Source organism: Homo sapiens, chromosome 1 (assembly GCF_000001405.40).
Source record: "Homo sapiens chromosome 1, GRCh38.p14 Primary Assembly".
NCBI classification, from domain to species: Eukaryota; Metazoa; Chordata; class Mammalia; order Primates; family Hominidae; genus Homo; species Homo sapiens.
Genome location: NC_000001.11, coordinates 203,189,515 through 203,214,655, shown reverse-complemented (window position 1 = coordinate 203,214,655; position 25,141 = coordinate 203,189,515). Strand labels below are relative to the sequence as shown.

At 45.8% G+C, this 25,141-nt stretch overlaps 1 long non-coding RNA gene across 1 annotated transcript; it reads left to right on the top strand.

Moving 5' to 3' along the window:
- Window positions 1,169–1,833, top strand: LOC124904485 (uncharacterized). The gene is made up of 2 exons (XR_007066797.1): window positions 1,169–1,503; window positions 1,611–1,833. It is a non-coding gene; the product is annotated as an uncharacterized LOC124904485 (long non-coding RNA).

The following is a 25,141-nucleotide window of genomic DNA, read 5'->3' as shown; positions in this document are numbered from 1 at the left end:
CACCTGCCACCACACCAGGCTAATTTTTGTATTTTTAGTAGAGACGGGGTTGCTGTTGTTTGCTTGAGACAAGGTCTCTCTCTGTCACCCAGGCTGGAGTGCAGAGGCACGATCACAGCTCACTGCAGCCTTGACCTCCTGGGCTCAGCTGATCCTCCCACCTCAGCCTCCCAGGTAGCTGGGACTACAGGTACACACCACCATGCCCTGCTAAATTTTGTATTTTATGTAGAGGCAGGGTTTTGTCATGTTACACAGGCTGGTCTCCAACTCCTGGGCTCAAGTGATCCTCCTGCCTTGGCCTCCCAAACTGTTGGGATTACAGGTGTAAGCCATTGTTCCCAGCCAGATTGTCTCCTTTGACTCCACCTTGGCCTTGAAGCCCCATGTGGCTGGAGTCTTCCTGCTGCTGCTGAGTTTCTCAGCACACACCAAGTGTCCATGCAGGCCTGGTGTCCAGCTGGACACAGCAGGGACAAGAGCCGGGGCTTTACTTTCCTGAGGCTAACATTCTGTTGGGGGAGGCAGACAGTGAACAAACGTGCACATAAGACCTTTCCAGGCAATAATGAGTGCTGAAAGGAAACAAGATATGGCTAGAGAGTGAAGGATGGCGGTGAGGGGACTGCTGTGCACAGTGTGGTCACAGAAGGCTCAGTAGAGGCCACATTTGAGATGAGATCCCAAGTCAAAGGAAGATTTGCCCATGCACTTTTGAGATCCACAGTCCTCAGGGGTAAATCTGGGTGCAATTCTTCCCTGGCTGCCTTTGTTAACCCAGCTTATAGGACATGGTCCTGCCTTGGTCCCCTCTTCTAAATGTCCCCAAGAGGCCCTGCCTTGGCCCCATTTCTCCCCTGGCACAGGTGCCTCGTGTAGGCCCTTAGTCTGATGGCGGTGATCATGGCCCCATGGACAAGTCCTCCAGAGCAATGACTGCTCCCCTATCCTTTATGTCAACTGTCACCTCAATCCCCACTTGCCTGGTGGCCTTTTAGTTAATACCGACTGAGGTTAGGGCTCCCGGCCACTGCCCCAACCTGTGGACTGTACCTTCAGAGTCAACCTTTGGTGACTGCCCCAGCCTCTGTCATGCCCTTATGCCCAGTGCATGGTCCACGTGCATGGTCCAGTACAACATCCTCCCTCTCCTCTGCCCCAGGTTGCTGCTAGGAAAGCACCCTTGGTGTCCCATATCCAGTGTGGTGACCTGTATCCCAGGGGACCATCGGGAGTCTCCAAACAAGCCATGCCTTCCTCCAGCGCATCTCCACCTGTGCTTCACTTCTGCCTGTGCCATCCCTCCTTTCCCCACCGGGCCACTGCCAGTCACCCTGAGACAGTCAGCTCCTGGGTTACTCTTGCAGGAAACATCCTCGGGTGCCCTGGACATCAGTGACTGCCTCCCTGCCACACTAGACCACTGGGCCACCACACTGACATATGCTGCCACCGTGATCTGTGTGGATGTTAGACTCCTCCCCTAGGTTCCGAGCTCCTAAGGTCAAGCACAATGTCTTAAGTGGTCCTCTCCAATCATGACACATGTTTGAGGCTCAGTAAATATTGAACCATGTAATTTCTGACTTTTTTTCTTCTTTTACCCTCAGGTGCAGAAATCACTTAGAGGATTTCCAGACTGAAGTGCTATTTCATGACAAGAGCACTACTCTCCCAAGCCCTTCTATTGAATACCACTGACTCTTTTAATATTAGTGTCCAGCCATTAGTCCTTCCTTCAAAGAGACAGGGGAATTAACATTCGTTGCATGACCAGAGACCATACTAAGCATGTATTAGACATCCAATAAATAGTTACTGAATGAATAGTAAGTGAATTAACCTGTGTCGTTTAATCCTCACGGTACCCCTGCAAAGGACGTGTCATTTTCTGTTTCCCTTGGGTTACACAAGCAGTATGTGGCAAAGCTGCAATTAATTAGCTGATTAATTAATTATTGAGACAGAGTCACTCTGTCACCCAGGCTGGAGTGCAGTGGTGCAATCTTGGCTCACTGCAGCCTCCGTCTCCTGGGTTCAAGTGATTCTCGTCCCTCAGCCTCCCAAGTAGCTGGGATTAAAGGCGCATGTCACCACACCCAGCTAAATTTTTTGGTATTTTTAGTAGAGATGGGGTTTCACTATGTTGGCCAGGCTGGTCTCGAACTCCTGACCTCAAGTGATCTGCCCACCTCAGCTTCCCAAAGTGCTGGGATTACAGGCGTGAGCCACCACGCCTGGCCTAAAACTGCAATTTAGATGCCAGTCTAGATGAGACCCAGAGCCCAGGTTTGCTTTCTAGAACACTGCTGTCTTTCCTCCCCCAGGTTAAAATCATATGTATTTCTTTTATCTCCTTACCCTGCTATTTGGTGTCTAGACCTCAGAGGTTATGAGTATTGGGCACTTCTTCTGTGTCCAGCCATACACTAATATTCAGGTCCATTTATCTCTGCTGTCAATCCCATGGGATCACAGGTGCAGAAACCACGGTGTCCAAGTCAAGCCGGCAGTGGAGTCAGGGCCTGACCCAGGCCCACCCATGTCTTTGGTTGCTCTCCCCAGTGCACCCTCCTTCATGCCTCAGCTCTTGTCCTCTACAATATCTGATTTTATGGTTTACCTAAGTATGAAATCTTAATGATGCTTAAAACAATAAGCATTGCCTGAGCACTTGCCATGTGGCAGGAGCTGTGCTAGGGCCTAAGGGAAATGCAGAAATGAACCCTGCCCTCATGGTGTTTCCAGCTGGTGGGACTGTTGGTGGGGGGTCTCCAGGATCAGCTTAGCACCAAGGGTCAAAAGATCAACCCAGTTGGTGCAGTGGCTCACGCCTGTAATCCCAGCACTTTGGGAGGCTGAGGCGGGCAGATCACGAGGTCAGGAGTTCAAGATCAGCCTTACCAACATGGTGAAACCTTGTCTCTACTAAAAACACAAAAATTAGCTGGGCATGGTGGCAGGCACCTGTAATCCCAGCTACTCAGGAAGCTGAGGCAGGAGAATCGCTTGAAACCGGGAGGCGGAGGTTGCAGTGAGCCGAGACTGCACCACTGCACGCTCCAGCCTGGGTGATAGAGTGAGACTCCATCTCAAAAACAAAACAAAACAAAACAAAAAATCAACCCAGAGAGAAGGTACAGGTACTTCATGACTGATGCTGTTTGGAGCTGCAGGCTCATGGGGATAATAAAAAACAGGCCAAGCCTGGCTTTATCCTTGTTTTTTAAAAATTCTCTGCATACAAGCCATTCTTATTGCCTCCACCTAGGGTGAACTTCTTGCTCTCATTGCCCAAGACAATCTGACATATGAAGTTTGAGCATCTACTGCAAAGCAAATACCACTTTTTATAACAAGACTTTCTCTCTGTTCCCACCAGACTGCCCTGTCAGCCCCACACACCTTAATTATAAACTAGGTCATGTAAGCTTGCATGGCCTTTGAAGACAGGCACAAATACTGCTTGAACTGTTACAGTGTGTTTGACATTGAGCAATACAGTTTGAAAGGAATTTGGGGCTATTTACTTTTTGGTGGCTTAACCCACTAATGTCTGGCCACCTTCCTTAACAGTGATGACCACTCTTCACCCATAAAGAAGAGGCCCCTGTATTCTTCTCTCTCATAGCATTCATTGTTACATCTGACACACCTGCTGGAACCCCAGACAAATTTGGCTCCCCCCTTGGCTGGTCAGATCGGGGACCAAACTGTCCATCACACCCTACCTGGAGCAGTGAGAGCTGAAACTCTTTATCATTTTAATTTTGTCTCCATTGTAAAATATACCACATTATACCAAATAGTGTTCAAAACATATATGTTCAGGAACTCTTATGAATCCCTCACCCAGGTAAGGAAACAACATTAGCAGCCTCTGATGAACAGTGACTGATGTGCCCCTCCCTAATCCCATAGCCCTCTAACTAGATTTTGGTTATTCCTTTTCTTGTTTTTCTTGTAGTTTTACCAGCTAGGTGTGCATTTTTAAATAAAATTGTTTAGTTTGCACTAGTTTTGAAACTTACATAAATGGAATCACACTGTATGGTATCTTCTGTGGCCCAATGCTCCACATGACTGTAACTCATTTTCACTACTGTATAGTATTCCATCATAAGAGTATGCCATGACTTACATATTTCACTGTCAACAGGCATTTGGGTTGTTTCTAGATTGTGGCCAATGTGGACAATATTGCTATAAACACTCTTGAGGATGTCTCCTAGTGCATATGTGTAGAATATGCCTAGGAGTAGAATTAATGGGATGTGAATTATGTGCTTGTTCAATTTTACCAGGTGCAGGCAACGTGTTTTCCCAAAGCGGTTGTGTAACTTTTCCCTCCCGTCAGCAGAATTCTCTTGTATCCCATCCTCACCATTACCATATCATACTTTATACCAGTTTGAGAGATGTAAAATGGTATCCCGTTAGAGTTTCAACTTGCATTGTCCTAATTACTCATTATAGTTTCAGCATCTTTTCCTATACCTATAAGCAATATGTGTTTGTCTTTTGTGAATAGTCCAATGTGTCTCTTGTCATTTTTCTATTGGGTTGTTTATATCTTTCTTACTGAAATGTAGGCGTTCTTTCCATGCTCCGAACACAAATCCACTCATGACTGCAGGTTTGGCTAAATCTTCTGGGTTGAGGCTTGGCTTTTCATTCTCCTTAGGTGCCTTTAATGTAGTCAGATTTACCAATCTTATTCTTTATGGTTTTTACTTTCTGTATCTTGAGAAATTTTTCTCTAGTCTGAAGTCAAGAGCTATTTTCCTATATTATCTTCTAAAAGTTTTGTAGCTTTTTTCCCACTTAAGCCTTTAGTCTTACTGAAATTGCCATTTAAATATGCTGTAAGGTTGTATCTAATTTTTTTTCTATACGGATAACTGGTTATTCAAGCACTATTTATTGAATAATCTATCCCTTTCATACTAACCTACAATACCATCCCTGAAACAAATTATGTTTCTGTACACACATGGGAATCTTTCTGTTCCATTGGTGTATTTTTCTTTTGCTGCCCCAATAACTCACTATCTTAATTACTAAAGCCTTATAATAAATCCTGATATTTATTACAGCAAATCTTTATACTGTGTTCTTTGTTTCAGAAATGTCTTGGATGTTCTTAGCTCTTACTTTTCCATGTATATGTTAGAATTATATTGCCAAATTCCATTAAAAATTCTGTCCAGGTTTTGATTATAATTGCACTGAATCTATAGATTGAGAAGAATTGGCATCTGTATGATATTAAGTCTCCTTATCTAAAAACATGGTATATCTGTTTAGTTGTCTTCTACTGCTTTTTTTAATGTTTTCTATTTATAATAGAGGCAGGGTCTCCCTATGTTGCCCAGGCTGGTCTCGAACTCCTGGCCTCAGCTTCCCAAAGTACTGGGATTACAAGTGTGAGCCACTGTGCCTGGCCCTAGTTGTCTTCTTAAATATATTTTGATAAAATTTTATAAATTTTTTCTTAAAGGTCTCATACATCTTTTATTAGATTTATTCCTAGGTATTTTAAATTTTTGATTACGGTTATAAATTTTATCCATGGTAAAAATTAAATTTTCTAACCAACTGTTGTTGGTGTATGGTAATGCCACTTTTGTATGTTGATGTTGTATCCAGCAACTTTTCTAACTCTCTGATTAAGTTTGATGATTATTGTTCTGCAAATTCTGCACAGCATTCTATGTAGGTAGTCATGTCATATCATCTGCAGAAATAAGTTTTGTTTCTTCCATTCTAAACCATATAACTTTTGTTTATTTGTCTTGCAAACTGCTCTAAGACATCCAGTACAGTGGTGAGTGTAAGCAGTGATAATGGACATTTTTGTCTTGTTCTTGGCCTGAAAGAGGATGCTTTCAATATTTCAGTGTTAAATATGCCATTTATTGTAGGTTTTGCATAGATGCCTTTAACAAGACTAAAGAAGTCCTTCTACTCCTAATTTGCCAGGAGTTTTTATGAGAATGGATGTAAGTTTTGTCATATGGTTTTCCATTTATAAATTTTTGCTTTTATTCTGGTAATAAATCATATTCATTTTCCCCTGTTAAATTCATCTTACATTTCTAGGATTGAGCCAGCTTGGTCATGCTATATTAATTTTTTTTTGTAATTTGCTGGATTAGTTTTTTTTTTTCACATTTTCACACATATGTTAGTGAGTAAGATGGACCTGCATGTTTTCTTTCTTACACTCTAGGAAGTCCTCACCACCTCCAGCTGTTGTCCAGGCCAATAATAAACTGATCTGGGGTATCAAGATTCTGGGATATCAAGCTGGGAAGGTCCCCTCATTCTATTTTTTGATAGATGTGTTAAAAGGACTTATCTGCTCCTTGAACATTTGGTAGCAGTCACCAGTAAAGCCATCAGCTCGATGCTTTTTTTAAGGATAATTTTTAACCACTGATTTAGTGTCTTTGTTGGCTACAGGGCTATTGCATTTTCTATTTTCCCTCTAGTAGGTAGAAAGCTGAAACTCTCTGTCCCTTCTTAGGCCAAGATCCTCCTCTTTCTCCCCAAATGGTACTGAGGGTGGTAGGAAGTGGCATTAGAGCTTGCTTTTGTCTTACTCAGAACTCAGCATCTCTGTTTCCTGTGCAAGAGCCCTTATTTGACATAAAATCAAGGTAGTGGCTAGTGCTCTCTCCCTCCCATCTGTCCCTCTTAAGTGTCCCTGGAGAGGGATAGAGCAGATGCCATAAACCTGTGGTTTTCCCAGAAGTCGCTGAGTGACACCAGATTGTTGAAAGTGCCACGAATAATTAAGAACCTTCTGGGGAGGTTGTTCATCTTGAGGCACTGCCCTCACTTCTCTCACTGAAGGAATCCACAGATTCCCCCAGGGATCTCCAGAGGATCCAGGCTCAATAAACCTGCTCCCTCCATTCTTCCCTCCTTCTTTCTTCTCCCCTGGCTCCATGTCCCCTCCCACAGGTACAGCCTTTCCCTACATTGTGTTAAAGCAAACTAACTACGGCCTGAGAAGGACTCCATACTTCCATATTTGGGTCCTTGTGGATGAACTGTAACCTAGCTTAATAGTCAGACAAAATTGAAAACCTAACTTAGTAGTGTGCACCTGTAACAATAGCTGAGTGTTGGCCAATCCCAGCAGCCATACTTCAATTACTGATATGCTGCTGAATGTTCAAACTACATTCAAATAAGGCAAACGCCAAGTTGTAACCAATCTCCCGGTTTCTGTGCTTCCCTTCCAATTCCTGTACTTCACTTTTTCTTTTTTGTCTGTAAATTTGTTCTGACCACGAGGCACCCCTGGAGACTCTGAATCTGCTGTGATTCTAGGGGCTGCCCAATTTGTGAATCGTTCATTGCTCAATTAAACTCAATTAAACTCCTTAAACTCTTTCAGCTGTAGTTTGTTTTTTGTTTGTTTGTTTGTTTGTTTTGTTTGACACAAAGTCTCACTCTCTCGCCCAGGCCGGAGTGCAGTGGAGTGATCTCAGCTCACTGCAACCTCCGCCTCCCAAGTTCAAGTGATTCTCCTGCCTCAGCCTCCTGAGTAGCTGGGATTACAGGTGCGTGCCACCACACCTGGCTAATTTTTGTCTTTTTGGTAGAGGTGGGGTTTCACCATGTTAGCCAGGCCGGTCTTGAACTCCTGACCTCAGGTGATCCACCTTCCTTGGCCTCTCAAAGTGCTGGGATTACAGGTATGAACCACTGCGCCCAGCTGAAGTTTTTCTTTTATCAATTGTAAATGCCATTGAAGATGCCGCTTTTCCTACAGTATAAAGCTCTCACATGGGAAATGCATGTCCCTTGACTCTAGGGCCTGGTGTTGCTGAGTTTGGGGGGAACTGAAGGGGATCCTGGCTAAGAGAGCAGCTCCATCTGAGATGCAGAATGAAAAAGGTGACAAAGCAGTAGACAGGGGTGCGTCTGAAAGGTTGGTGGAGCTGGGTGCAGCTGCAGGGTCTCCCGGCAACCCCCTCCTCCACACCGTGCTTTTCCTAGGCCTCCTCCCCAGATGCAACCTCCTGGTCTAGGGTAGATTAACTACTAACAAGCGCTCTTTATGCTCATTCAGTCTCTTCCTGTTAGTAATGCCCATTTCCCCTTGTTCAGAGCTTGGTGCCAAGAGAAAGTAGCCAGATCCCTCTTAATTAATTCAGGCATTAAGGCAACAAATGTATTTCAAATATATCTCAAGGAAAGAAACAACCCTTCCAAAGGCCCACATTGACATTTGTCTTGGGCCTCGCCTCATTTTGCTCAGGGTGGGAGTGAGGAAGGGAGAGCATGCAGACATTCCTTTCATTCCTTGGCCCCCACCACAGGCATGTGGGATCTTGGGGGCTTAGGATGGCCCCAGCCCCACCCACTCCCTCCTCCAGGGTGTCCTTGCCATTCCCAGCTGTCACCCGGGCCAATAATAAACTGATGAGGCCAGGCAAGCAGAAGCCCAGGCTTAGGTGAGGGCACCTCCCAGTCCCCCTACCCACTCAGCAGCTCCACCCTTGGAGATCACACTCCAAGGGGGGACAGTAAAGGGGTCACCTGAGAAGGGGGGCATCTAGAGGGAAGGGACAAGGACCCGGTGTCCACAACTACTGCCATTACCACTGCTTGTCCTTGGCCTTCGTCTGAAGCAGAGCAGCAGGGACACGGGGGAGCCAGTCCACCCAAACCAGCCCAGACCCACCCGCTGGTGCCCTTATTTCCCTAAGCTCCTTCCTGGCATCTAGAGTAAGATGGCCAAGCTGTAGCCTTAGTTCGTATGACCTTACTTGGGCCTCCTTAGAGGTGGAAACCTCCACCCTCTCCATGTTTAAAGTTAGCTCTCTGTATGCCACATGTGGCTTATCTGTGCCCACGGTTAAGTCCTGGGCTGCCTTCTGCTGCACAACCCAGAGCTACTTCACCCAACCCTGGAGTATGAAGGGACTTGGCTCCATAACATGAGCCAGGACAGGGCTTCATGTTCGACATCTGGGACCCCTAAAGTCAGAGTACAGAAGGAATGTCACCCCACCATCTTCCTACTGCCATCGCCTGGACGCAAATGTGACTTGGTATGGAGGGAAGATCAAGAGGTCTTTGCCCCCTGGACAAGTCACTTCTCATCCCAAGTCCTCTGTGTCCCATTGTACAGTCGGCAGGTTGGACTAGATGACCTACTGGCCACAGCTGGCCACTGCCAGCCACTGGGTACCTCTTCTCAGAAAATAAGGAAAGCAAGGGAGGGTCAGAGTCTCCACTTGGCATCAAGCATCACTTCTTCACCCTGATCCCCCATCCAGAAGACTCCTTGCAATATCATCCTGAGCTAAACATGGGGGACTTGCTCTATGGCTTCCTCCTCCTGACACACGTGTATGCATGTGCACGAGCAGACGCACACACACACCCCACCCTTGTGCAACACGCATGCTTGCAGAGGAAACTTGTCCTTTCTTGGCCAAGCACAGGGGCCTGGAACAATGGGAGGGAGGGTGTCTTACATTGCACTTCACACCAGAGCCTGTCCTTACAGATTCCTCAGGATCTCAGTCTGCACTAGCTGACCCCACAGGCCTTCCCTGCCCTTCCACCTTTCGGGTTCCACATCTGCAGCAACCACTGAGCTTCAGCCAGCCAGCGGTGGAGCCAGATGCCCAGGCTGTGCTCCAGAGCATCCCTGCAGTGACTCAGAGGCCACTGACCTTTGAACACATCCAGACCTCCCCTCCCTGCCAGTGGAGAGATCTCCCAGCACACCAGACCCTAAATGCCTTGAGACAATCTCTTTCTAATCCCTTAATCCAGTGGTGGGAGCCATTTTCTATTAAGGGGCAGTGACCTCAGTGGAAAATCATAATCATACAAGGGCCACATCACTGTATAAAATTACTGAAGTTTGATGTGGCTGCTGCTGTTTCTTTTTAATTAGGAAAGATGTATAAAACATTCAGAACACCTGATTTTTAAAGGAAGACAAAACCATGCAAAATAAACATGATCAATATGTTAGAATATGTTTTCCAAATTGAAGGCAGTTGAGATGGTGTGACTTAAAAGAATGTAAAGGAAAGAAAGAGTGAGAAATTGTGGTAGGAAAAGGAGAAAGACTAGAGAAAAATAAGGAAAACGTGAAGGGCAGGAAAGGGCAGGCCAGTGGAAAGGAGAGGGAAAGAGGGTGATGAGGTTAGGAGCAGCAAGGAGGGCTCGTTAGGCCCAGCTGCTGGGTCATTACTTTCTGCTCCATGCTTCTGGTCAACCCTGATCTTGTAAGGCTGGTTTTCAGATTATTACCTGGATTGTAGGCTACCATTTACACAAAGTCATTTGGTAGATGCTCATTTCTATTATACCATTTCATCTTTGCAAGAACTCTAAAAACTAGGCTTGAGAAAAGTAAGACCTAGAAAAGTTGCCCAAGCTCACACACCATAACAATTGGCCAGGACTCCAATTCATCCGCAGATCAAAGCTTCTGCTGTTGATACTATACCATTTGTATTGTCTACCTTGCCATTATCTTCCTATTGAACTGTTGATTATCTTTGTTCATTGCCCCCTTGATCACCATGAGGCAATGAACAAATGATCCAGCTACTCTTTCCTTCTTTCTGTTTTCTGAACCCATTAAACTCGTCCCATCTCTATTCCCCACCTGCCCTGACCTCAAAACTTGGTCTGATCTATTCTTGCTTCCTGGGCTTGGTTTTCCATGCCCAGATCTTCCCATAGCAGCCCAGCTTACCCTTCAGGTCTCCCCTTAAGCATCACTTCTTCAGAGAGTCCTTTCAACCACCTCCCTGTCACTCTCTCACATCACTCCAAATTGTTTATTATCATGGCACTTACTGCTGCGCGGTGTTTTTTGTTTTGTTTTGTTTTTTGTTTGTTTGTTTGTTTGCTGTTGACTATCCGTCTTTCTGAGCTAGAAGAGAAACTCCATGTGACCAGGACTTTATCAGCCTTGTTTGTTACTATATCTCCGGAATCTAATACTACTTCTGGCAAATAGTAGATGCTTAATATGTGTTTGTTGAATGAACGAGTGAATAAATGAACTGCTCTCTATCCCCTTTATAGACTCTGCTCCTAGCTGTTAGTGGTACTTTTTTGTACAGAACCAACAAATCAATCCCTAGGTTGCATTTCCCATATCAATCAGCTCAAATTCTCCTTCTACAATTCTAATCAAAACTCATCCATTCCACAAGCATGTCCAAGCTCTTGGCTGAGACTGTGGATGAAGATAAATGAGATTTGACTCCAGATTCAAGGCCTGAGCTTCTGGAGTTTATAGAGTCTAGAAGAGAGGGGATAAGGCATGCCCACAAAGTATTATAATTCAAGATTAAATGAGTCATAAACAATTAAAAAAGAACAAATTAAATATGTTCAGAGGAAATTTCCTCTGGTTGGATGATCTGTGGGGACCCTAACGTAAAGAAACAACAGAACTGAGATCGAGTTTTGAATGAGGGTTCAGACCTCACTGCAGTCTCAGGCAGTCAGCCATGAGACTCAGAGCCATGACCTCAGATTGAGGGCCAGGGTGTGTCCAGACTGGACCAGGCACGCGAAGACCCGGGAGGCAGGAGGGGATAAGGATGGAGAGAGGCTGAGGCCAAACGGTCCAGGTTTGTGGACTGCACATAGCCATGGGAGAGAGCGAACTGAGTGGGCACCATGACCCAGGCAGCAATGTAAACCAGCAGCCCAGCCGCTGCACTTGCAGCTGACAGGAGGGAAGGGGGTTCGTGCAGGACCCTCACCCACAAACCCAGGGGGTTAACCAAGTTTCTGTCTAAGAAGTTCAGCAGGGCAGATTTCTCTCCTTTCTTAGTAATGTGAAATGTAAGCTGGTCAACAGGCATGATTTCTCAACAGCAGGAAATGAAGCAACTGTTTTGGAGACAGCATCCCTCCCTGATGGAGGGCAAGGCTTCAGGCTGTGGTCATTTTCCTGTCAAGTTAATCCTAGTTGTAGAAAACACATCTCCTGAGAAGGCTGGCCTGTCAGGGAAGGGGTGGAGACCTGGAGGCCTGGGGTAGGAATGGGAATGAGGAATGAGCAGGGCTCCATGTTGTTACTCATGAGCGGTAGGGGCTCTGCTGGAAGAAGATCGGGCAGTGTGGAGAAACTGGAGGCGGACTAGGAGGTGGGGTGGGAGGCTGGCGGCGAGCGGAAGGGAAGGATGGGCAACAAGCTTCAAGGGGACTTGGAGGTCTCAGGGAAGGATGCCAGACCTGGAATAGTTCCCAGCCTCTGCCTCTTTTCTTTTTTATTTTTCGACAGAATCTTGCTCTGTCGCCCAGGCTGCAGTGCAGTGGCGAAATCTCGGCTCACTGCAATCTCTGCCTCCCAGGTTCAAGCGATTCTCCTGCCTCAGCCTCCCAAGTAGCTGGGATTACAGGCACCGACCACCATACCCAGCTAATTTTTGTATTTTTAATAGAGACGGGGTTTCACCATGTTGGCCAGGATGGTCTTGATCTCTTGATGTCGTGATTTGCCTGCCTTGGCCTCCCAAAGTGCCAGGATTACAGGCATGAGCCACCGCGCCTGGCCCTCTGCAACTTTTCTCTCCATCTTTCTGAGGCCCATGGCCCCTCCCAGACTCAGTCATAGCCCTAGCTTCTGGGACCTGGGACCACAGTCATTTCTTCTAGTTCCTTCTCCTGGGCCCATCTTTACCATATTATATTGTAAGTATTGGCTCAACAACTGCCTTCTACATAGACCCTGGGCCCATTGAGGGCAAGGGCCCTGTCCCCCTCCTCTGCTGGCCCTAGCACCTGGCAGACTGGGGCTGAACCTGCAGGGCCTGTGGATGTCGGGCTGAATGATATAGTTGCCGTTGTACCTTCTGGGTCTCTTCCACCACCTGATCTCTAAATGTCAGGATGCCTCAGGGCTCAGGCATGGGCTTCTGCCCTTCTTGCTCTACGTGAACTCATCCGTTCCCATGGCTTTAAATAGCATCTTGACACCAATGACTGTATCCGCAGCCTAGACCTCTCCTCCAAGCTCCAGATGCATGTATCCACCAGCCCGCTTGCTCTCTCTACCCAGATAAGGCATAAACAGTTCTTTAATATGGCTGAGACAGACCCCCTACTCTAAAACTTATCTCCACCCCATGAATTCCTCACATTAAACAATTAGCACAACCTTGTCCACCTTGCTAAAGGTAGGACCCCCTGGGTGGTTCCTGGTCCCTCTATTCCCTCATCCTTTTACATCCAACTCATCTGTAAGTGTGCGGATGTTCCCTCCAAGGAATGTCCATAGTCCACCCTTCTTTCCACCTCCACGTCCCCAGCCCAGGGCAGGCCACCGCATCTCTTGCCTGGACCTCTTTAACAGCTGCTTATGTTCATGCCTCTTCCACTCTTGCCATACCACAAATCTATTCCCTACAGAGCCACTAGAGTGACTTTCCAAAACATAAACTCTATCCTGGACTACCTGCTTAAACATCCAGTGGTGTCCCATTGCACAGAGGACAAAACCCCTCTGTGGTTTCCACAGGCCCCAGGACACAGACCTGCCTCTCTCCCCGGGGCCTCTTGTCTCTCCCCACATCCCCAAACTACTCTAGCCAGCTGGTCAGCTTGCTTGTGCTTTTCTCTTTTTTTTTTTCCAACACACTAAGCTCTTTCTCACCTCCAGGACTTTGCATATGGTGTTCTCTGCCTGGATCATTTTCTCTCTTCTTGAGGTAGCTGACTCCCTCTCATCCCTCAGATTTCTGCTTAAGATCACCTCCTCGGAGAAGCCTCCCTGACTGTCCTAACTAAAGGAGGTTCCACTCCTCACTCTCCCCACCCTAGCCCAGGACTTGGCACCTAATAGGGGCTCAGTAACTCTTTCCTGAAAGAATGAACACATGCTGCCCTTAGTCCCTGGCAGACTCCTGTGAGCTCTTTAGTTTATCCTTCTAAGCCACCAAAGATTCACTCTCCTTTCCGCTTATTTTTACGTTTTCTCAAAACTTTCCTCATAAACACCATATTGTTGAGTTTCTTTCTCTCCCTAAAATAGCTGCAGAACTGGACAAAGACTGGCTATCTGCTTCCTAGCTGTCCCTTTCAGTTTCAGGGTTTATGTGCTAGTCATTGCAGGGGAGCAGTGGGGAGAATGGAAAATTACCAACAAGGAGAAGTGGCAGAATCCAGGGACTGACCGTGTTCTTACACCCGTGGTCCTCAGTCTATAGTTAGCTTCTGACTTCCTTTCTTGGCAAGATCTATACCAGCTATCTAGGACAGTCCCAGTTTCAACTGTTCTGTCCTATTGTCCCACTGTGTTTCATGAATTTTCTTACAATATTGGCTCTCTCTCTTTTTCCTCCCACTCTCCTTTTATCCCATGAGGGCAGCCTTACTTAAACAACCCTCGCACTCAGTGTTGAAAGAGCTGAATTCAGTTCAAGTCTTGCTCAACCACATAAAATGTGCACGACTTTGGGCAAAGCACTGATCCTCTCTCAGCTTCCGTTTGCTCACCTACTGAGAGGGATAAGGCCAACACCTCCATTCCAGCATTCGGCAGGGCGGGTTGTGACTGGAATAGCATGTGTTGGGCACTTGGCACCCATAGCAAGTCTCCCTTGCCCCTCAGGATGAATAATGGAGTGAATTAGTCTTTCAGCCAAAAGACTCTGGGCTCCAGAGAGTAATGTAATGCTTTACCCAAACAGTGGAAGTGTGGAAGTGATGTGGATGTTGGGGGACTGTTATATTCTCTCGGTTCAGCTGTGGCCTGAGTGATGAGTCAGGTCATGTCTGTAGATAGAGAGCTCTGTCTCCACAAAGAGGAGGTGCCCAGCTCCAATCCCTGGGGAAAGGTTGTATCTTTATTGGAAACCAGAGCTCAGAAGACTAGCCTTAGGGAGATGGAAGAGGGCCCCGACTTGGGAGCAGGGGTGCATCTTTCAACAGGGGTCCCTAAACAGATGGCGCCCTCCGTATGGAATCAGGAGTCGAGCATAGCTTGAACGTCTGACTGTCCAGGACCCACCTCAAAGCGTGCACTTCCCCTGCCTCACCCTCAAGCCTCCCCTGAGTCTTATCTGAATGCCTTGGCTCAGGCTCTGCTTTTCAGGGGGAGGACTGTGCCACCTCCTGGGCCAGAGTGTTAAGGGGTGACCAGTGCCCCTGAGACCACCTTGGCTACAACCTCTCAAGGGAAATGTGCATCTTGGTGAATCCGAGGGACAGGGTAGGGATCATGCAATCCAGCTGCTTCTTTCTCCCCACCAGGGAGGTCTTCATCCAGTGCCAACCTGGGTAGGTCTGCCTCGAGCATGTTTTTATTGAGGAGCTGGCACTTTCTTTCAAATGTCAGGGGCATTGAAGACCACGCAGGTTTCACCTCCTCCAGGCCCTTGCCTAGCAGGAGAAAGGTCACTTTCAGGCATGTCCTCACACTCCCTGCACTCAGGTTTGCCTTGGGCCATGCCTGGTCAAAGGAAGCCTAGAGACTGGGCTCCAGTACAGGCTCTGTATTTAGCAGCCAAGTGACTTGGAAAGGTCACCTGCTCTCTGCTTCCTCATTGTCAATGGAGAAAACAATCTCTGTATTAGTTTTCTGTGGCCGCTATAACTAATTACCACAAATTATAATGGCTTAAGACAGCACATATTTAATGTCTTACAGTTTTTTGAGGTTACAAGCCTAAAATAAGTTTGATAAAGCTAAAATCAAGATGTCCACAGGGCTGTGTTCCTTCTGGAGTCTCCAGAGCAGAATCTATTTCCCTGCCTTTCTAACCTTCTAGAAGCTGCCCGCATCCCTTGGCTCGTGGCTCCTTCCTTCATCTTCAGAGCACATCACTCCTACCTCTGCTGCCCTTGTCACATCCCCTTTTCTGTGTCTGACCCTCCATCATCCGCTCATAAGGACCTCTGTGATTATATTGGGCCCACCCAGATAATCCAAAATAACCTCCCCAACTAAGACTCTTAACTTAGATACATCTTCAAAGTCTCTTTTGCCATGTGTGGTTACATGTTTCCAGGCTCTGGGGTCTAAGACATGGACATCTTTGGGGAGCCATTATTCTCTCTACCACAGCCTCCTTACCACATAAGCTGTTCTCAAATCGCATCCATCTCCAGGCTTCAGGAAGGACCTTCTCATCTCATCGCAGGCCAAAGGGCCCGGTCGCCTAAGGATGAGGCCTGGTCCCCTAAGTACTCCTAAGGATGGAGAGTCTGAAGATAGCTTTATTTGCCTGTTTTCTTTGAAACAGGGTCTTGCTCTCTCACCCAGGCTGGAGTGCAATGGCAAGATCTCAGCTCACTGCAACCTCTGCCTCCTGGGTTCAAGGGGTTCTTCTGCCTCAGTCTCCCAAATAGCTGGGATTACAGGTGCATGCCACCACACCTGAGTCTTTTTAGTAGAGACGGGGTTTCACCATGTTGGCTAGGCTGGTCTCGAACTCCTGACCTCAGGTGATCTGCCTGCCTTGGCCTCCCAAAATGCTGGGATTATAGGCATGAGCCACCACGCCCAGGCTAGTTGCCTGTTTTAATGTTGAAGGCTCTTAAAGGGAGTTATAACTGCTATCTGACCCATCTCCATTCTGGCAAAAGGGATCCATGTAGCTCTGCTGTATGCGTTTTCCAAATTCAGTGTTTAGTGGGGGAGCCACAGGATCATCTCAACTGCAGAGGGTGGAAATCTCATGGGAGAGCCAGAAATGAAGGTGGGGTTGGAGAAGGAGAACCGGCCTCCTCAGAGCATCTGCTCCGTGCCAGACCCTCACATGCATACCTCACTGAATTCTTACCACAATCCTGTGAGGAGCTGAGGCTCAAGGGGGCTGAGTCATGCTAAAAAGGTCAGCAAGTGGCAGAGCTGAATGGGGGTTGGGGACTTTTTCTGATTCTACCACAGCACCACGTGGGGTTGGGGTCACCTGGGCTCTGGCTTTGTACATTGCCAGTGTTTCTTTTCTCCTGGCATCAAAAACAACTCCAAGGAGAGGATGGTTGTTTATGGTGAACAGGGCTATTTAGAGAGGTTAGAGGTGTACATTTGTAGATGACATTTAGAATGTATGGAGAAGGAGTGTGTGTGTGTGTGTGTGTGTGTGTGTGTTTCACTAACCTCCACTTACTTCTGGATACTGAAGGGAGAGGAGAAGGAGGATCATCCAGTGGATTGGAGTTTAAGATTGTCAACAAGACATCACTAAGAACACCTTTTGCATGCCCTATGGATAAGTGCAAAGCATCCCTCAAAACAGTGGTTTCAAATCACAATCACCATCCAGAGAGATGTGTTAGAGACCTGGGTCCTTGGGTGTGAGAGATCTGTTGAGAGAGTCAGGCCCTTACCCAAGCATGGCTATGGGGAAGTCCAGCAGAAAGAGACACAAACCCTGCCCTCAGGAGGCACCAGATCTGAAAAGAAAAGGAGACGAGAGCCCCTACCTTCAGGGAGATCCTAAAGTGTGTGGCAGATGGAAAAGAGATAGTCCTGCCTTCAGGGAGCTTCCAGTCTGAGAGGTAAGATGAGACACATGGGCACTAAAACACCACCATAGACACAGGTGTTCCCCAAGCTCACAGACCCAGTGGTTGTAAGAACACAGTCAGAGGATAGAGCAATTAGATGTGAGCCTGTGAAAGAGGGAAGGTTCCAGAAGATGAGTCTGGAATAGAAAGAGGAATCACTGAAGTGAGGAGTGGGCACCAGAATGGGGAGTACACTGTGAAGGCAGAAGCAAGCCGGTCAATCCCTGGGATGGGGGACACCCAGATCGGCTTGAGTGGCCATCACTTCTTTAACAAGATGGGCCAAAACCAGGGTCCAGAAAATAAATACACACATGGCTGCTCCAGGCACCTTCAGAGGGGTGAAGACTGCTGGCCCCGACTTCTAGAGTGGTTCCTTACCCTGCTTTCACTCCCAGTCCCCTGCCCATGGGTGTCGTGTGCCAGAAAGCACAGACCCTGGGAGCCACTGCTCCCTTACAGGAGAGGCCGCCTGAACACAGCTGTCCCACATCCAGGCAGAAATGGTGCACAGCGCCACATTCCACCCTGTCTGCTAACCAGGAAACTGATTTCAGGCTGGCTAAGGGGACCCTTGTACATCACTTTTCTATTATCTTCATGTGGCTTCTCCAGAGAGACCAGGTTTTCATGGGCCTATGAGGGACTGTCAACTTCAGTTCAGTTTAGTTTAACAAATGTGTGTTGAGCATTGCTGACACTCTGCCCTGTTTCCAACATGACTAAGCACTTCACATACCATGGCAGGAAAAAAAAACCAACAGGGTCGCCCTGACTGGTTCTGGTCCCCAAAATAAGCCTTGACTATTTCCCAGAAACTTGGCCTTCCTAAGAAAAACCATTTGATCCCTGACTTTTGCTCTGCTGAAGTCTGAGGATACGCTGTGACTCTGATGACCATGTGAGAAAGTTGCTGTTTTCCACCATGAAGAAATGGTACCAATGTAAACACGGTCATCTAGGCCATTTGGGACTTTTTCCTTTAAACATTTGTGCTTTGTATTTGATGAGCCAGTTTTGTTTGAAAGCTTACTCCCTTCCACTCTTTGCAACTGAAAGTTTGTTTACTTCTCTCTCTCTCTTTTTTTTTTTTTTTGTAGCTAACAATAATTTATTGTATATTTCAAAATAGCTAGAAGAGTTGATTTGAAGTGTTCATTATTTTCTTCTCTTTTCTAAATGTATTAGTCTCTGGTCCTCCTTTGACAGCTTATTCCTGGAGTTTCTACAAAGCTATTGGCTGCCTGGCTCCTACCAAGGGAGCAGGCAGACAGGTAGAGCTCACAGTGTACCTTACCCCTTGGATCTGATCTGCAGCCCACCCTCCTCTGGCTCCTCTGAAATGTCTTCTGTGCGACAATAGAGCTAAATTGATTCTTGCCAAGTCTGTTTCTGGTTCTGGTTCTGATGGTGCATGGCCAATTGTGTCCACATTGGTAGCAGCAGGAGTGGAATCTAGGTTTGATGCTGCTATGGCCTGACCATGACATGATTTCTGTCAGGTGCAGCAGACAGGGTTTCTGGAATCTGACTCCCCTCGTAGTATTTTCTGGTGAATGTGTTTGTCCAAGGATTTTGAGATTTCTTGGAGTTTGAGAATACAAGGTTGAAGAAGTTGTTTGGAGTCTCTGTGACTTTTGGAATTCTCTGTGGTATGTGTTTCATGTTGGTGTCAGTAGGTTCTTTTCATTCCAAGCTCAGAGCTTCCTTCCTCAACCCTAAGTTCTGGCTTTTAAAGTTATTATGGTCCAAATAGCTATTGATAGCTACAAAGGTAAAATTCCTATAGCTAAGATAAAAGGAAAATCAGCTTTCATTAATTTCTTTAAATAACTAAATGATGCTGGTTGCAGTGGCTCACGCCTGTAATCCCAGCACTTTAGGAGGCTGAGGCAGGAGGATCGCTTGAGCTCAGGAGTTCAAGACTAGTCTGGGTAACATAGTGAGATCCTCTCTCTACAAAAAAATGTTTTAAAAATTATCCAGGCAGGGGGCTGTGCATCTGTAATCCCAGCCAGTCAGGAGGCTGAGTTGAGAGGATCGCTTGAGCCTGGGAGGTTGAGGGTGCTGTGAACGGTGATTGTGTCACTGCACTCCGGCCAGGCATCAGAATGAGACCCTGTCTCAAAAATTAATTAGGCCAGGCGTGGTGGCTCACTCCTGTAAGCCCAGCACTTTGGGAGGCTGACGTGGGTTGAGCACTTGAGGCCAGGAGGAGTTCAAGACTAGCCTGGCCAACACGGCAAAACCCTGCCTCTAATAAAAATACAAAAAAAAAAAAAAATAGCCAGGTGTGGTGGTGCACACCTATAATCCTGGCTATTCAAGAAGCTGAGGCACAAGAATTGCTTGAGCCTGGGAGGTGGAGGCTGCAGTGAGGCGAGATCACACCACTGAATTCCAGCCTGGGTGACAGAGCAAGACTCTGTCTCAAAATAATAATAATAATAATAATAATAAATTAAATGATTTAAAAATAATGTCTTCAGAAATTTTTATATGAGGTTAAAAGGGAGCATTATTGCAAGGATAGGGACATAAAAAGAGAGAGATCGTGCTGCTAAATTCAGAAGGAGATCTCCAAATTACTCAGATTTTCAACAATGATGCTTCTTCCTAAAAGACCTAATGGGGCTTAATTATGTGTCTTATCATATGTCATTTATTTCAAATGTTGTCTCTAGGTTTAAATATCCTTGTCAGTTGGTGACATTCTTACCCATAAAGATAAAATTAAGGCCCTGGAGATTTGTTAATGTCCCACTCTCTCATACAAATCGATTGCACATTATACCTTAATAAAAGACTCCATTCTCCTCCATTCTAGCTGATTAACCAGAACCATTTAATTTTATTATACATGGGTAATATTTCCGTTTTCCTTCCATATACTAAATGTTCCTGCTACAAGCTAAAGATCAGGACTATTGATATCACAGGACATAAACACCCATGGATACGGACTTCCCTCTATAAGCTGGCATTGGACCTGTTCGACTGAACCAAGGGACTGACTCAGATTCTCTAGAGTGGTTTTGGTCTAGACTCTAGAATAAGGGTCAGAAAACTGGCTGTCAGGTTTTGTTTTTATTTTATTTTTTTAATAAAGTTGTTTTTTTGTTTGTTTGTTTGTTTGTTTTTTGTTTTTGAGATGGAGTCTTGCTCTGTCGCCCAGGCTGGAGCGCAGTGGCGTGATCTCAGCTCACTGCAAGCTCCGCCCCCCGGGTTCGCGCCATTCTCCTCCCTCAGCCTCGCGAGTAGCGGGGACTACAGGCGCCCGCCACCACGCCCGGCTAATTTTTTGTATTTTTAGTAGAGACGGGGTTTCACCGTGTTAGCCAGGATGGTCTTGATCTCCTGACCTCGTGATCCGCCTGTCTCGGCCTCCCAAAGTGCTGGAATTACAGGCTTGAGCCACCGCGCCCGGCCTTAAATAAAGTTTTATTGGAACACAGTCATGCTCCTTGGGTCAGTATTCTCACGGCTGCTTTCCTGCTACAAGGGCCATGTTGAGTAGTTGCATAGAGAGTGAGAGCAGCTGATCAGAAAGCATACAATTTTATAGAAGAAAGTTTGGTCTACCTAACCCAAGACCAACAAAACAAAAATGAATTACCTAGGACTAAGTGAAATAAGTGTTGGTTTCATTATGATCGATATTATATTTTAATTAATATCAGAAAAAAATCTGCTTACTCTATCTCTCATTTTCAATTTAACATATTATACCTACACATACTGGAGTAAGGCACTCTTTTTAAAAAGATTTTAATAATATATTTTATTTGACCCAATATACCCACAATATTAACATTTCAACATGTAGTCAATCTATAAATTATTAATGAGATAGCTAACCTTTTTTTTTTCCAACCTATGTCTTCAAATCCAGTGTTGGTTTTTATACGTACAGCACATGGGCGCACTCCTTAAATGTCACTTAGTCCCACTTGAACTTTCAAATTTCAAAAGGAAAAAAAATCCCATGGGAAATCTTAATATAGATTATAAACTAATATATCATCAGGACAATTTTAAAAGAAGAAAAAAACCCTGCATTTCCTGGCAGGCTAGGAATATTAACAAACATGGCAATCTTAAAGAAAATAGCACTGATATAATACTTCACACATAAAAGCAATTTCTTCCTAGCCCTAAGGGCTTTACAAAGCCTCCGGACAGAAGTTCACTGTACAGCCTGATCAGATTATAATGACCTGTATTGATCGGACTTGTCTACAGAACAGTACTCATAACTCCCGCAGCCCTTGTAACAATCTTGTGTTTAATGTTGGGATGTCTTAGGCCTCAGAAGCAGGCCTTAGACAATAAAAATATACTCTAACCTTTCCCCTTCTCTGGTCATAAAGAAATCCCCTGACCTACCTTGTCGGATTGTAGGTCATAAGACCCCTGTTTCAAAAGAGAGTCTTGCCCAGTTCCCTGAAAGAAGGAATGCTGCATAGAGGCCAATAAGAATCTGAACAGACAGCCCTTGCTGGGTTTCCCTATTGCGTCTATTAGTATTAGACCACACCCTTCTTGTCCAATCACATTTCTACATGGTTGTCAATCATGACTACCCAGTGAAGTCTCCATAAAGGCCCACGATGACTGGGTACAGAGCACTTCCAGGTAGCTGAGCATGTGGAGGTTCCTGGAGAGCGGCACCCCCAAGGAGGGCATGGACGCTCCAAGCCCCTTCCCCATACCTCGCCCTGTGTATCTCAGCATCTGTGTACTTTGTAATATCTTTTATAATGCACCGGTAAATGTGTTTCCCTGAGTTCTGTGAACCTCTCTAACAAATTAAACCTAAAGAGGTGAATGTGGGAACCCCAACTTGAAGCTGGTCAGTCAAAAGTTCCAGAGGCCCAGACTTGTGGTTGATGCCTGAAGGGGCGGCAGTCTTGTAGGAATGAGCCCTCAACCTGTGGGATCTGATGCTCTCTGCAGGCCGAGAGCATCAGAATTGAACTGGAGGACACCCAGCTGGTGTCCATTGCAAATGCTTGCTTGGTGATGGGGAGAGACCCACACATTTGGTGGCAGAAGTCTCCTGTGTTGATGGTGGTCATTGTGTTGAGTGAGAGAACAGAACAAGCACAGTTTATGTTTTCTCCTCTTACCCATGCTTTTACAAGTTCCTTTACTTTTTATGATCAAATATCCTATGTTATACATTTGAGGGGGAAAATTGGAACCAAATTAATATAGCTTATTCACTTCTAGATAGAATGAATGTTTATGATCATGTTATTTATATAGATCCAATGAGAATCTGTCCTTTTTCTTACCAGAAAATAATTGGATACTGACCATGCCAAAATTCCATTTAATTAGGTATGTGTTAAAGAAAAAAATTATCCAATGCCACTTGTTGAAGTATGTAAGGATGTCTTTATCCAAGATCATTATGACAGGTACAGGAACCAGGGCAATGGGGTCTTGCAGTTGGGGGGAGAGATTGGGCTCAACTCTAAATACAGCATGGGCAAGTGGAAATCAGTAGCTAAGGACCAGGGGGTCTGTAGACAGAAGTTACTAAGAGGAAACAGGAGTAAGGGGGATTCTGGCTAAACAGACTTAACAGGATTCTTGCTGCAGACAGGCCAGGGTGGTCAGACATCCCCTGGGGCATGATAAAGGACAAGGAACCTGGTCAGATGTCAAGGTATTCAGATGTTGAGGGTAGGGGGTTCTTGCTAAATTGACTTAGCAGGGCTCTTTGCTAAAACTGGATTTTACAAGGAAGTGCACAGATGGGCCTAGGAGAAGATTCAGAAGCCCGCCTGAAATTTGGCCAAGCAAAGAATTTTTGTTATATGATAAGCCACTATTAAGGAATAAAGACTACATTTTACATGTGGAAATGACACCTATGAAGTCCTCTAGAAAACTCTGGTATGGCTTTAGAACTGATGACATTGCAGCCTTAGAGGTAGTAAAATAAATAAATAAATAAATAAATAAATAAATAAATAAAACCTACATTTCCTGGCAGTCTAGGAATATTAACACATATGGGAATCTTAGAGAAAATGGTGCTGATATAATACTTCACACATAAAAGTAATTTCTTCCCAGCCCTAGGGGCTTTACAAAGCCTCCAGACAGAAGCTCACTGTAAAGCATCACTATCATGTGGCTCTGGTTTCGCTAGCCATACAAAAAGAAAGTATTTATTTCATCAACACCTCCTGTTATGTCAATAGAAATAAATTTTGGTCAAATAAAACAAAATATCAATTTGATGATGCTGCATCAGGAAGTTATTAAGCAACATATACGGTTCAACCCATGCCTCAATGGCAAGGACTTGCCCACAAGGAAGGAAAATCCGTAGACGCAAAGCCCAACTCTTCACTCTACTGGCTTCATTCATGACCAAGTACCACTGCGGGGTGGGGATGGGAATAATTTGCATCTGGAGATAAGCCAAGAATAATAGGTTATCCTGAGTGGTTTAAGACACCAAAATAATAAGCCTTGGCTATTTCCCATAAATTTGGATTCCCAGCTGGGTGTGGTTGCACACGCCATTGATCCCAACACTTTGGGAGGCTGAGGCAGGAGGATGGCTTGAGCCCAGAAGGTCGAAGCTGCAGTGAGCCCAGATCACGCCACTGCACTCCAGCCTGGGTGACAGAGTGAGACTCTGTCTCAAAAAGAAAAAAAATTCCCCGAAAAAAACAATTTCATCCCTGATTTTTGCTATGCTGATAAGTGAAGATGTGTTGTAAAAATGATGCTGATCTCCACCAAACGTGATAACCTTGGGTCATTTTTTTTTCCCCTTCAAATACTTGTTGCATTTTGCATTTGACGAGCCAGCCATTCTGAAATCTGACTCGCTTCCGCTTTTCACAAGCAACTGTTTTCTTCTCTAAGTGTTTCTGCCTCTGAGTCTTCGACAGCTTCTACTGTGCGCCAGCACCACCACCGAGCTGAGGATTTGGAGATGATTTGAATTCCTGCCTGGCAGAAGTCCACCCTCTGGAGGAAGAGACTACTTGTAAAAGAGAGAATTCTCCTCAAGCATTTGGTGGGGCATCAACACCACCTCTGTTTGCTCTGACACGCCATGCAAAATGAAGGAATCCTCAAAACCACTGTGCCCAAGGGGCCAGCCCAGGCTCCCAGGAGCTTGTTTTCTGAATGGTGGTAATGTCCACCCTCTGGCTCCTGATCCAGACTCATCTTGTGCCTCCCTCGAGCTCCCTCCTGCTAATTCCATGCCTCAACCACTCTTGAATTCTTCTGGTTCCTGAACATAACAACCTCTTCCTGCTCCAGGTTTTTGCACAATTTTTTTTGTGTGTAGGGGACGGTGGGCAAGGGGCAGACTAACACCTGCCCTTCCTTCGTAATACATTACTTGCTTTTCTTTGTTTAATGTCCATCTTCTTTGCCAGACTGTATGCTTCATGAGGACAGGGACTGCCTCTCTGTTCCCATTCACCTTTCTGTCTCTACTGTCTACCTCAGTGGAAGGCAACTACTCTAGTACACTTACTTAATAAACATTGGTTGAACACTATCAATGTACTGTGGGGCCTAGAAATGTTTGATTAGGGAAATTAAGTCAGGAAGCTTGTTTTGTGGTTTTATGGCACCTCCT